The following is a 14207-nucleotide window of genomic DNA, read 5'->3' as shown; positions in this document are numbered from 1 at the left end:
TCATCCCCACTCCTAACCCCATACCTTCAGAGAGAAGCTGTCTTCTATGATCTGTCCACAACTGTGCATGCCCTGGACTGGGGAGGCAGCCCAAAGGACAGTTTTGAGTTTGCTTCTACCATGTCACCTCAGTAAAATATGTTGGCTAATCTAAATAACTTGGTTATAATAATAATATTAATAATAATAGTAACATTTGGAAAGGTAAATAAAGTACACAGATAATGAGCAGGGTTTTATTTTAGACAGAAGAAAGTGCCCTGAAGTAGGAATTAGAAGTTCAAGGCCAGGCTTTGCCATTTTCCAGGTAGGTGGTCCCTCTGGGTAACATCACTCCATCTTAAAGAGTAGGTATGTGCCTTCATGAGGTGCAAAGCCCAAAGTTCACATCAGGTGTAAAAGGGTGAAAAATTGTAACAGTGAACTGATGATGAATATTTTATATTAGTACATTCAAGACATTAGGGCTCTAACTTTCAAGGAATTTTTTACACAAAGGGACACAGACTGGCTCACCACACAGGTGGCTGTATTTGCCCCTCACCACCAATTTTTCTAATAATTTCTTCAAACAACCAGCCCTTAGGAAGAAGGATCCCAGCTTACTCATTTTGGCATCTGGAGTCTGAAACGCAGTAGGCACTCAATATGCATTTGTAAAATGATAAACACATGTCTATTACTCGTAACTTTTTTCTCCAAGGAGCTCAGAGGAACATTTAGGGACAGCAAAATCTGATCCACCAGGTGAGTCAAAAAAAACCCCAAACTGATCTACAGGTTAATGAATTCTTTTAGAACACAAATGAGGGACTGAGAGCAATCCAAGAGGCCATCTTCTTACTCACGGCCATTTGGCAGAGAAGTTCATGGCTCTTCCACAGCAGTTCAGTTGCCTTGGAAGTCTAGGTATTTTCAAGTTGGAGAAACATAGACAAGTGATTAAAAAGTAACTCTGCCAGGATCACGGAGCCTAAGAAAACTGAGATCCGATCATCCACCCATGTTTTTGGATAGGAATAGATGAATGTCAAAGAAAATATATTTTTTAAAGGGATGAAATGAATTCAATTAAATATGATGCCTAAAGAATCTTATTTCATTTATTTAAACAATTTCTTTTAAAAATACCCCACATATTTTTCTTTTAAAATAATAGAAAACTAAAACATCTTAATAGAAAAGTATCCATAATCCCACCATTTTTCTTGTTTGCAGGGAGAGTGGGGAAGTAAGCAGTTTTTTAGGTGTTCATTTACTGGAATTAAAAGAGAGAGAAAGTATTATCTGAGTACTGTTACTTTTAGATCACGTAGTGGAAGACAAGTTAAGTAAACCAATAATTTCCTTTTCTCTATTTACAACAATTTCCCCTTTCTCACCCTTGTCTTCCCCTCCTGAGTCCATTACCTTCAGGTTCGTCTCTGATGCTGGTAGTTGATCTACCAACATTTCAACATCAGTATGGTCACGGAAGGAAGATGCTAGCCACTCACTCTCAAGGTTTCCCTTCAAACTTTGTGTTGCTACAATCACTCATTCTTTTGGGATTTACAAAGACTTCCTGGGCAGCATTGCCCCAAACCTAGCAAACATATCTTCTTCACTTGCAGCAGAGTGAGGCTATAACCTCTGGTGTCAGGTTGTAAGGTTTAAATCTCAGGTCCACCACTCACTATATAGCACTTTGGGCAAATGACGTAACCTGTCTAGAGCTCAGTTAGTCCATCAGAAAAAGGGGAGCAAGAATAGTAGCCATGTCATAAGACTACTGTGTTTATTGAAGGAATACTATATGTCAAGTGCTCAGCATAGAACCTGACACATTGTAAGTGCTTAATGAATGATGAATGTTATCTATTATTATCTCCAAACGAGAACTGCAGTAAAACATCCCAGAAATGTGTAAATATGAACATTCTCCCAACTCAAAGGCAGTGGGATAAAAGGGGTCAAGACACTGCCTTGTTTAGACGAAACTCTTCTTGCCCCACAAGCTGCCTAAGAAAGCAATCCCAGTGAGGAGGCCCTGGGCCCCACCCCACGGGAAGCTTCAAGAAAGAGCAGTCACTCCTAGGCTCCATGCTTCCAGTCTGAACTGATGGGGAAACTTCCTCTAGTGTCATTCAGGGCAAATGGCATCATGGAGCAAGCTTTACCTCCATCAAAACCTCCCAGGTCACGTTTGCCATCTGGGTCTCATCTCTAGACCAGTCGACCCCTCCCTTAGTGAGAGCACGCTCCAACCCTCTCTGACAACCCCTCCAACTTTCCACTCTGACTTCTGAAATTAGTAATGCCATCCCAGCCATATTGCTTACTTGCTACAAGTTTCTTAACTCCCTGTCAGTTTCCTATGTGATATGGGGCTAATAATAGTATCTACAGTTTAGGATTACCAAGAGGACTAAACAAGTTATTGCAGGAAAAGCACTTAGAATCCTGCTAGACAGACAGTACATGTTCAATAAAAACTAGCTATCCTGTGATTTGCCACCACTGCCGCTGCAGCAAACTCCCCTAGAGCTACATCTTCTTTTCTGAAGGCTCCCTTCCTTTTTGCCTACTCCCTGGACCTGGCTGGCCCCTGAGGATCACTCCTCACACCCAGGGCCTGGAGGTAGGATAAACAGTCATTTCTTGCCCACTCTCCCCCTTTGCTGTTTCCAAAGCACTATCCTCCTCCTTCAAAAACCTCCAGCCCTTCTGATGTTCATGTTCTTCTAACCATTTTTCCCACTTCCTGTCTTGCTACTGTACACTCTGTTCCATACATAGAAACCAGAGTTATCTTTCAACACTTAATTCAGGCTAGGCACAGTGGTTCATGCCTGTCATCCCAGCACTTTGGGAGGCCAAGGCGGTTGGATCACTTGAGGTCAGGAGTTTGAGACCAACCTGGCCAACACGGTGAAACACTGTCTCTATTAAAAATACAAAAATTAGCTAGGTGTGGTGGTGGGCACCTGTAATCCCAGCTACTTGGGAGGCTGAGGCAGGAGAATTGCTTGAACTCGGGAGGCAGAGGCTGCAGTGAGCCGAGATCACACCACTGCACTCCAGCTTGGGTGACAGAGTGAGAGACTCCGTCTCAAAAAAAGAAAAAGAAAAAAACAATTCAGATCATATACCGTTTCTGCTTAGAACCCTGTGGTGTCCCATTACACTTGGAGCAAAATCCAAAGCCTGTCTATATCTCTGACCTTATATTGTCACTCACCCCCACCGGCTACACAGCAAAACTGGCCTTCTTGCTGCTCCTGAAAGACATGGCACTCAATCACCCCAGGGCCTTTGCGCTTGCTGTTTCCTCTGCCCCCAACACTGGATTCTGGATCCTTCATATCACTCAGGTCTGAGTTCAAAAGTCATCCCAGAAAATCCTTCTGAGAGCTCCCAACATAAAGCAGCCCCATATTCACTATTGCTTTACTCCATCTATTGTTCTTATGGCATTGCCAACATCTGAAATTATCATGCCAGATTATTAATTGTTTAAAAATGTTATATTATTTTTTAACTTCCTGTTCTTCTGTCTTTCCTCTCCAGGGCATATGCTCCATAAGATCAGGAGTGTTGCCTTTATTGTTCATTGTGGAATCCCTGAGCAACAGTGCCTGGCCACAGTAACCACCAATAAACATTTGCTGAATAAACCAACACAGAACAATGGATCTAAAGACCACAAAGCTCTGTCCTGGGTTTGAATCCGAGCTCTGACAATTTATTGACTGTGTTGCCTTTGAGAAATTATTCGCCTCTCTGAGACTCAAATTCCTCCAATTAGAATATGGTGGTGGGGGAGAGTCACCTCATCAGGGTTGTCATGAGGATTAATGAGATTGTGTTTACAGCAGCAGCACCTAACACACTGCTCCACAAATTCCAAGCACTCAAAACATCATTATAGTTATTATTATCCAGAGGATAACATAAACCTTAAAACTTTACTAAGATTAAAGTCACTTAAACTTGGATCTCTTTCTCTTTTTCAGAGTCTGGAGCAGTACAAAACCCAGTCAGAGGATGTCTCTATCATTCCCACGCAGGTAGGGACTTCCACTCTTGGAAAAATGCCTCCCTTTGTCTGAGAAAGACAGCAGATCATCACATCATTTTCCTGAGAATAGTGGATCCCATATTTAACGTTTTAAAGCTGACAGATAAAAATTTCCAAGGTATCATAACTTCTTATATAAATTAGCAAGAGGAATTAAATTTTCCACAGCCTAACTGAGTACATTTGGAAGGGGTGGGGAGGTGGGGGGAGGTAAACAGGTTTCCCCGCAAGAAGTAAGGGAAACTTTCAATTTTGTACTCCTAAGGAAGGGTCTATTTCATGGAATTGAGCAATGCACATATGTTCCCCAGAGCATCTTGCACTTCTGAGGGCTCTTGGGTCCACTTGGCCTTTCCTTTCCTTTTGGAATCTCTGGATAATTAAAACAAAGAGAAGGCAGTCTAGTCAGTTCTCCTCCTTGACATTCATGGCCAACAGATGAAGCATAAATATGTCTACACAGCACTTTCCTCCCTCTGGGGGACCTCCAGTAACCTTATGGCTCTGGAAGGAGTTCTGATTAAATAGAAGTGGCATCAGGCCTTCAAGGCAATGCCTGGCTTTTAGTCTGCTCAAGAAGTGTAACCAATGCCACAGAGCAAGGTTTGGACCTTTTTCCATGGGCCTGAAGAGAAGCATGGTCAAAAATTCTCTTGTTCTTTAAAGGAGACTTTGGATGAGGAGTAGAGTAAAGCAATTAGTTTGTTATGGTTTTACATCAGTGAGAGACAGGCAGAGGTTTGAGCAGGAAACAGTCGTTTTATGTGCATTAACACAGAGCTGAGATGCCAGTGAGACTTATCACATCTTGTGGAATTCTGCTAGGAGGTATCCCTTATTCACATTACAAATGAGAATGTCCTTTGGCCTGAAATTATTGTACTTGAAGAAGAATTTACAAAACAAAATCCAAATATACTTAAATTTTGAATGAGGGAGATTCAGAAGGTTGGGAAGGTAAAATAGGCAGAAAGGGAGAGAAAGGACTGAGGGCTAGAATGAAAGTGAGGTTAGGACACACAGGTGAAGCAAGAGGAAGAAGAAGCATGAAAGCGAAAACACAGACACACACTGAAGAGAGACATGGACTGGGAAGGAGAGAAGGGGAGAATGGGAGTGGCGGGGATGGAAGAAGAGACAGCCCTGAGAGAGAGCTGGTTTAGAGCAGACTGAAGTGATCCATTATCAAATCAGATGCTTTGACTTGTCTTGCTGCTTACTTGGACAGTGGTCAATGAAAGAAACTATTATCTGACATTTTTGGTAGCAGTTCTTAAATTAATTCACCTTTCTTTTGATAATCTTGTATGTTAGTCTAGCTTAGGCTAATGAAAGCAGTGAAATGTCTGCTGCTTTAAGTGCCCTGGACAAACCTTAGGAAGAGTCTGTCTGATAGAACTTCCTGGGATGACAGAATGTTCTAGTCTGCCCTGCCCAATATGGCAGCCGTTAAGCTACATGTGTCAACTGGACACTTAAAATGCAGCTAACTCAACCAAGAAACTGAATTTTGAAATTTTATTTCATTTAAATTAATTCCTCAGAGTATAGTGTGTATATCAAAGGGAGAAGTGAGATATATTATGTACTACAAAAAATGAACACAAGATTTTAACAGCTATGTGATAGCATACATTAGAAAACTATAACTGGTACATCAAACTAATGATTTCAGTTACTAGAGTTCTTAGAGCAAGAAAAAAGTGAAATTGTAATTTGTCTGAAAACAAATAATGTAAATAATGGTACAGGTGGCACACAGATGTGGCATAAATTGTGAAGACAGTGTGCAAATAACTAAAATAAAAGTTGAAAATAATTTTAAAAATTAAAGTCTGGGAAATACTAGACTAGACAATGTTTTCCAATTGCATTATACTGAAGATTGGCAAATGACTTGAATTTATGACTATGGACTCAAAGAGTAAGAAAAAAGTAATTTTTCAATTGTCATAGAAGAGAAAGGAGGTATGAGACTATGAAGATCTGCCAAGGAAGCAGGGATTTACGGTATTTTAAGCCAAGCCGTGAGGTTGTTGCAGAGGTGATTGGGCCACTCACGACCAACACTCCAACCCTTGCATTTGCTCGGTGGTAAATTGGGACAAAATGGCAATGATGATATCCTGGGGACATTGTGTAGAGTAAATAAAGTATGTTAATGTAGGCTGCAAGCTGTGGAGCACCAAACACAGATGTTATTCTATTTTATTCTTTCTTCACTTCCATTAGCTTCCTCTCCTCTTCCAGGACACCACCTGTACCCCATTTCAGTGGAGAGCAGATACTTTATTTAGAAATGCTAACCATTACTAAGCATTCCGCTGTCCTGTTTCCTGTGGTACATGTCCCAAAGTGTTTCCACTTGGTCAAAAACCCTTGGCATGCCCAGGATAAGTGCTCTATTATAAAACCTAGGCCTCTGACTATAGGCTTGATTTGGGGTATTAACATAGAGCATGTGTCCTCTTGCAAGGGGAGCAACCCCCAGGTCATTACATCTGCTGATCCTCTGAAAAAGATGCCAGGATTTTGCCAGAATGTGCCCTGAAAAATAGCCAAGGCACAAATTAACACCCACTTTCCGGCAATGGGAACCATTCCTGAAAAAGCCACTTCCGTGAAACCCGAGGCAACCTGGAACAATCCAGGAGCCAAGACACAATTTATTACTTCACAAAGAACATCGAATTCTGATCCAGCAGCAAACTAGCTGCTGGGTTTGTTTCCTTTCCCACACAAGCTGCATTTCAAAGGCCTGCCACGCTTAATTTACAAGCCCAGCCCTTGAAAGGAATGCTTTAAATAGCCGAAGATTTATTGAATGTCATAACTAAAGACAATGTAGAGATTGAGCCCCCCTCAATCCCCTTGTCTTAGACATGGGGACACAGAGACCCAGGCAGGGTACGTCAGCAACTTGCTGGTGATTACACAACTACAGACAAGGACGCGGCCAGCCCTGAAACCCAGGTACTCTGACCCCAGGATCACTTCTGTTTCTGGCTCCTCCAATTTTTCTACTACACTCAAACATCAATCATGTTTTCAAATTAACATTTTTAAAGAAATGGTTTTCATTTCAAACTAGCAGAATCCAAAAGGGAATTCAGCCATTGCTTGGGAGATGGAGCTAGACAACATCAAAGGTTAATTTCTAATCCTGACAGGTGCTTCAATGAAAAGAGGTAGTACTTAGCACAGGGACGAAAGTTATAGTCCACCTGTTAAGGTGACACAGAATAACACATTCATTCACTGCTGGTGAGAATGTAAATTGCTAAAACCATTTCAAAAACAATAATTGACAATATGTATTAAATTCCTTAAGGATGTCCAAACCATTTGACCTAGAATTTCCACTTCTAGAGTTTTCCTTGAGGAAATACTGAAAAAAAGTGAGCAAATGTGTTATGTTCAAGATGTTCTCTTGTAGGGGGTAGTAGGTAGTAACTAAAAACTGGAAACAATTTAAATATGTAGTAGCAGAGGTTTGGTTAAACAAAATTTGGATATATCCACCCATAGGATGTTATGTATCCAATAGAAATTATACCCTCTGATAGAGAGAAATGTTCACTGATATGTTGTTTAAAAGGCATATTATAAAACAGCACGTATAGTATATGATCCCATTTTTGTTTAAAATGTTTTTATTTACTGAAAAACAAAAACAAAGATCAGAGATTATCACGGGATAATAAGACCATAGGAGGTTTTATTTTTTCTTCTTTTATGTATATTTTCTTTCTGCAGTGTATATGTATTAATTATGTCATGAAGAATTTTTAAAAGATCTTACGAATAAAACAAGTTTATTGTTTACTCAGCAACAAAAAACAAACTGATTCAATACCATGGATGGATCTCAGAAACATTATGTTGATCAAAAGAGGCCAAACACACAAGAATTGATTTGTAACATTCCATTTATATGCAGCTCTAGGAGAGGTGGGACTATGATGATAAAAATCCCATTTGGATACCAACAAGAGAATAACTTTAATACCTTCTCTACTGGCAGGCTCCACCAGTTGGATGATGATGCTTCTCTCTCCCACATCTGTCAAGCCCTCCTAATTACTTCTGCAGGTGGCCACGATGGAAGGGCCTCTTTCCATCACAGGTGCCATTATGAGCCTTATGCCCAGGACAGAAATGTGACCTCAGTGACTTCTGCCTTTCCTTTCTCCTGATACCTTACCTGCCTTCCTTCTGCTCCCCAGCTGCTGTGCCTCGTTCTTCCTCACCTTCCTTCTATGCTGAGAGAGTGTGATGTAGCCAGTGGGGCCCTAGCCCTGAGATCTGTTGGCCTGAGTTCAAGCACTGGCTCACCCATTTACTTAAGCAAGTAAGTCAATTTCCCTAAATAAAGCAAGTAAACAAGTAAGTCAATTTCCCTAAATGGAGGCAACTACTTTCTGACTTTCATCATCATAGTTCCACCTCTCCTAGAGCTGCATATAAATGGAATGTTACAGATCAATTCTTGTGTGTTTGGCTTCTTTTGATCAACATAATGTTTCTGAGACTCATCCATGGTGTTGAATCAATAGTTTGTTTTTTGTTGCTGAGTATATCTATTGCATGCAGAAGCCACAACTTATCTATTTACCTATTGATAGATGTTTGCGTTGTTTCCAGTTTTGAGCTACTACGAATAGAGCTGCTAATAATATTCATGTTCAAGTCCTCTGTGTCTGTATTTTGATTTCTCCTGAGTAAATACCCAGCAATTTCATTGCTGGGTCAGTTGTCCAAAGTGGTTGTACCATTTTACACGCCCATCAGCAATGTGTGAGTGTTTCAGTCTCTCATCCTCACCTTGGTATTGAGAATAAAGTAGCATTAGTGGTTCTGCAAGGAGGTTTTCGTTTGCATTTTCCTGATGATTTATGATGTTGACCACCTTCATGTAATTATTGGCCCTTCATATATCTTTTTTGCTAAATGTCAATTTAAGCCTTTTGCCCATTTTATTAAGTTGTTAGTCTTATTGAGTTCTTTCCATATTCTAAATACAAGTCCTTTGACATATAAAGTGGTTTTAAAGATACTTTCCTAACCTATCTGAAACAGGGTGAGGAGCCAATTAGACAATGCTGTAACAGTCTATGAAACTTAAGGACTGCTTTGCTTGATGGAAGTAACAATCCCGCTATGTACAAGGAACAGTAAAACTGAGGCTAAGGGCAATGCAAGGATGGCACATTTCCTAAGTACAGAGATGACAGGAAGCTCTCGGCTCACGCCATCTTGGAAAGCCTCTAGAAGTGGTGTGTGGATGTCTGGTCTCCCATGAGATTCCTCTGATTCTGCATCTTCTTCAACACTACTCATCAGCTGTGTCATGATTATCATTCCTGAGCCCTTGCTTAAATTTTGGATCAATTTCTTTGCTCTGATCTCTGTTGATTTCCTTATTCGTAAAACACTGGGTTTTGAGCTTCCTGCACCAAGATGTATGTTTTCATTTTCTAGAGTTAAAAGAACTCCTTCAAGTATTATTGCAGCTAAAAATCTGTGTCCTGACCAGGCAAAGAAGCAAGTCCCTGTAAAAAACAGAGCTACCACAAGCCCTACTCTCGTATGGATGTTTCACTCAACACTTACGCAGTTGCTCTGTCCTGCTGGGATACTGGATACTTTTTATTTCTTAAAAAAAAGAAAAAAAAGGAAAAGAATTCTAGTATTGTTTTTATAATACTGGTGGAAAAATAAACAATTGTTTAATGTTCTGAGCGGCGAGATTAAGCCCCCAGGGGAATAGGAGAGAAGATAAATCAATATTTACCAGTAGTCCTTATCCTATGTTAAATATTAGCTTAAACTTAAAAACCCGTGGTTTTTGTTGCTGCCTCGCCTTAAGCCCAGATTTCACTGGTCTTTTGCTCTTGTGGAGAAATAATCATTTCAGAAGCAGTGGGAAATATTTGAACCATGTCCATTATATATGTTTTACTGTCGTCTTTAATAGTTATTGTAAACGCAGGGGTCACAGGAAAACGCTGCCGGGCTGAAGTGGTTCAACCTTTGCAATGCAGCAATGCATAAATCTCAGTGGGAGTCAACCAGTACTCCTAATAAAGCTGTACAGTGAGCAAAATTAAGGGTAATTTGCTAGCATTTTTGAGAAAACCTGTGAGCTACACTGGAGGTTTCGTATTTCACAGATTTGCATTAACCCTCAAAACATTGGAAGTTGCTGCCCAGGCCTGTGCAGACATCATCGGAACCTCCACACCAAAGAAGAACACATTAGGCATAGAATTTGCCATGTGTTCAGCCTGGGCGGTTACCCCCTGATTTCTTAGCTGCTGGGATAACAACAAAACTCGGTCTCCAGAGAAGCCAGAGAAAGGTCTCTGTAGGGGATATGAAGCCAAAATAATAGGTCATTACATAACATTGCCTAGATGGCCCAAACAGCAGATTGTTCATTGCATATTAAAATATTCATGTATATCACCCTCCCTAGGGTTGCCAATAAAGATCCTTTATAAACACTAACTGAATAAAATTCCCGACACCGTCTCTGTGGGGGATGTGTATTAAATACCAAGCTTTTCTTATCGATGCTAAAGCTAAGCCCTGAGAGGTGAAATAACTTGCTTTAAATCGCAGTGCGCCAGGAGGAGCCCAGGTGCGCTGGCATCTGAACCTGCTTTGTAAAACCTCATTATAATTGTATAAAATATGACAAGAAATACAATCATGATACAAAGAATTTGGGAAGTTAAGTGATTACTTAATCAAAGTCACTTAAATGATTTGTGGTTGGAAGGATCAAAGAATTAATGTTACAAAATTAAGCAAAAGCCAAAACAAAAGCAGTGGGAGGGGGGAAATTTGGTTTTCCCACGTTTTAATTCTTTTGTGAAAATGAACTCAACAGATCCTTAAATATTTGTAGTGAAAGTAAATCTTTTTCCTTTTTCCTGGGAGGAAGGAAAAACAACAACAAAAATCTGTGGTGTTCAATTCAGAGTGAACACCTTGGCCTTTGAAAAGTCTCTGAATCCTCCCACCTTTATTCCCCACTTCAGCTGTAGCAGGGGAGAGAATCTATTATTCCTTCTTCAGGCCCCTAAACCAAATCTGAGAAAGAGAAGCTGGTGGAGACATCCCCAAACTCTGCCTCAGTCCAATACCAAATGTCTGTTAAAACGTCCCTCAAGACCAACTTGGTTACCAGTTCCACACACAGGCCACAAACAGTCCAACTCTCTTCCCCCTTCCTCTTTGTTCTCTCTGTTTCCCATTATTTGGTGCCCTTTCCATTTGATTGGCTCTGCTGAAGACAGAAGCCACATTTTCTTTATCTTGCTCTGTACTCAGACTTCTCCCCTTGACCCTTACAGCAAAACATCTCTTTATCACATCACCAAACATAAGCTCAGCCATCCTCTCATACAAAACATCACTCGACCACACCGCCAAACGTGAGGTCATCCATCCTCTCACACAAAACATCACTCGACCACACCGCCAAACGTGAGCTCACCCATCCTCTTATATAAGAGCCTAGCATATAGCAATACTGTCACATTCAAGCAAAAAGAATGATTCTACTTCTTTGATGGCAATCTGAGGTAAATAATGAGACTTTTAATTATCCTTCACAATGCCAAAGACTCTACCTGCTGTTGTTAAGCATGAGGTTTATCCCCAGACTACAGGTGAGTTAAGGTCTGTAGAGAGACCGTGGTCCGTAACAGAACATGAGGCTGGGCTACGAAGAAAACCTGGTTTGTCTTCAGGTCCATCTCATGCTTTGCCCTAATCCAGGCAGCAGCATTGCCACATCTCCCTGCTGTTTGCTCCCATGCTGTATTCAGGTCACTCTGTAGACGTCCTAACCAAGCAAGGACCTCCCTGATCACAGAATCTAGAAGAGCCCACTCACACCATCTTTCTCTCCAGCCTGTTTCTCCTATTCAACTTTTCTTCAGAGCAGCTATGGTCACTGATATTCTATGTCCGTGCATTTATTATCAATCTCCCCTCTGAAAGATAAGCTCCATGAGGGCAGGCACTTTTGCCTTGTTTGCAGCTGTAGCCTCAGTGCCTAGTATAGATTTGTCCTTTCAGTAGGCACTCAATAAATACAAAATAAGTGAAGGATGAACAAACAGCTGTCATTCACTGGGAAAACATTTACCGAGTACCAAGTCATAATAAAATCTACCAATTACTGAGTGTTTACCAGACACTAGACACTGTGCTGAGCGCTAGTGGCAAGCGCATTGGGTGTTCTATCAATGCAACAACTTTCTACCAATGGGCAAAGTTCTGTTTTTAATAAAATGTATCTTGCCCCAGTAGAGCAGCGACACACAGCTCTAGGGTTATTCATTACCTCCTCTTCGTTCCAGCATGAAAAGCTTCTAACTTCTGCCAATATGGATATTAGAATGATTCCTACTGTATTCATTTCATTTTTAAAAATATCGACAATAGTTATGCACTAGAGCCTGCTGGAGAAAAAAAATTCTTTTTAAAGCCAATGAAACACTACAACAACCAGATTTAAATGTTTTCATCATTCAATCTAAATAAACCAGTTGGGTAGCTTGGTAGAGAAATTCTCCAAATAGGTAACAGATGGCAAACTTTCCTGGGGAAAGTAGCTTCAGACTTAACACCTACCTAGGATCCACCACTTTTTAAAATGAAGAGTCCATTTGAGGTTCTTTATTAATTTCATATCAAATGGTTCCTACTGCCTGCAAGATACAGTATGGTGAAAGCAGCCAATAAAATATGTGGGATTTGGAGTCCAACAGACCCAGGTTTGATTTCTAGCTCTGCCACTAGCTGTGTAAAATTAAGTTAGATGCTTTGCTTCTTGAAGTCGAAATGCCCTTGCTGCTCATCTACCATTGTATAACTAACATGTAATCATTACTTGGCCTGGGGGTTGATTTTACTCCACTTACTTACAAGCTAATGAGTTAATCTATCATGGTTTCATGGATACTAGCAGAGAATCTTGGATAATGAGACAAAGGACTTTATTACTCATGGCACAGCAAGTAGCATGGATATCAGTGTTTGCAGTCGGTTCCCCTTGTCTCCAAGTCCACAGGGGCAATGCAGAGAGGTCCAGACATATTCCACATGCAGTGTGTTTGCAATGCAGTGGATGAATACTGAGCTTGGGAATGCACTGCATTCACAGCAAGCAATAAACAAGCCTGTTCTTCATTCTGGAGGTAGGCCTTCCCTCATTTCTAAATGTTGCTTACTGAAAACACAGTCCTGAAAAATGGGTCAGGTAAAGGGGATCATGTCCTCATATTCTGGTCATACCTAACATGACATGTAGGAGTATGAGTAAACCCATGGAGGACTGCTTCCAATAATAACATGATTAAATTATCCCCCCAGTTCCTACAACTCGGTATCCAAAGATTCCACCTGCCTCCTCCCTCTCTCTCAGAAATGCTTCCTTTTTTGAAAAAAAAAAAAAATCCATCCTTTTATTTTTCTTTTTGCATCACGCTCAAAGAATTCTAAAATGTTTGACCTGGAAGGCATTTTTCAAAGCAAGCAGTTGTAAAATTTTAGGTAGCTATTAAAACTTACACAGAATTTTTGTAATGCATGGAGAAGTGCTTCATATAATGTTAAGAGAAGCAGCAGGATCCAACATATTTATAATACCTAAAAATACACTACATATACATGATAGTTTTCTGTGTTTTACAAATTCTACACTGAAAATGTATCTCACTTCTCTACTCAGAAGAAAACTGAAATGCTTTAGCTCACCCCCTTTACTTTGCAGATGAGGAACTGAGAAGCATACAGGTTCAATGACCTCCCACAACACCCCACCACCCCACCCCCTGCCGCAGGCCCTTTGCAGAGCTGGTAATGAAAGGCACAGCCTCTGATTTTCAGTGCGGTGACTTTGGCCCTTGCCTCTGGGGATTTGGGAGGGACAGCAGGGCAAAACTGGGTAGGGAGGATCTGGCCAAGGTAACCATGACCATCTGAACCTGGGGAAGAAGTCCTCTGCATTTAATGACTGTTGGCAGCTGGACTCAGGTTTCCCTGCCCGTTACTATAACTGGCATGAGGGAGAAGATGAATTCCCTTAGGCCTGGGCTTCTTATGGTAAGCTACTCATTGTTCAAAGTTG

The 14207-nt window shown here is 40.8% G+C and overlaps 1 protein-coding gene and 1 long non-coding RNA gene across 8 annotated transcripts in view; one reads left to right on the top strand and one right to left on the bottom strand.

Moving 5' to 3' along the window:
* The window catches only part of THSD4 (thrombospondin type 1 domain containing 4), a 686490-nt gene that overhangs the window by 260913 nt on the left and 411370 nt on the right, over positions 1–14207 (bottom strand). The window lies entirely within an intron of this gene.
* LOC107984716 (uncharacterized) overlaps positions 1–14207 on the top strand; it is a 46156-nt gene that overhangs the window by 2128 nt on the left and 29821 nt on the right. The window contains exon 2 of the long non-coding RNA XR_001751787.2: positions 3996–4049. This is a non-coding gene — a long non-coding RNA (uncharacterized LOC107984716). The remainder of the gene's footprint in view (positions 1–3995; positions 4050–14207) is intronic.

The sequence above is a fragment of the Homo sapiens genome, chromosome 15 (genome assembly GCF_000001405.40).
Source record: "Homo sapiens chromosome 15, GRCh38.p14 Primary Assembly".
NCBI classification, from domain to species: domain Eukaryota; kingdom Metazoa; phylum Chordata; class Mammalia; order Primates; family Hominidae; genus Homo; species Homo sapiens.
Note: the sequence above shows the minus strand (reverse complement) of the source record. Positions and strands in the feature narration are given on the sequence as shown.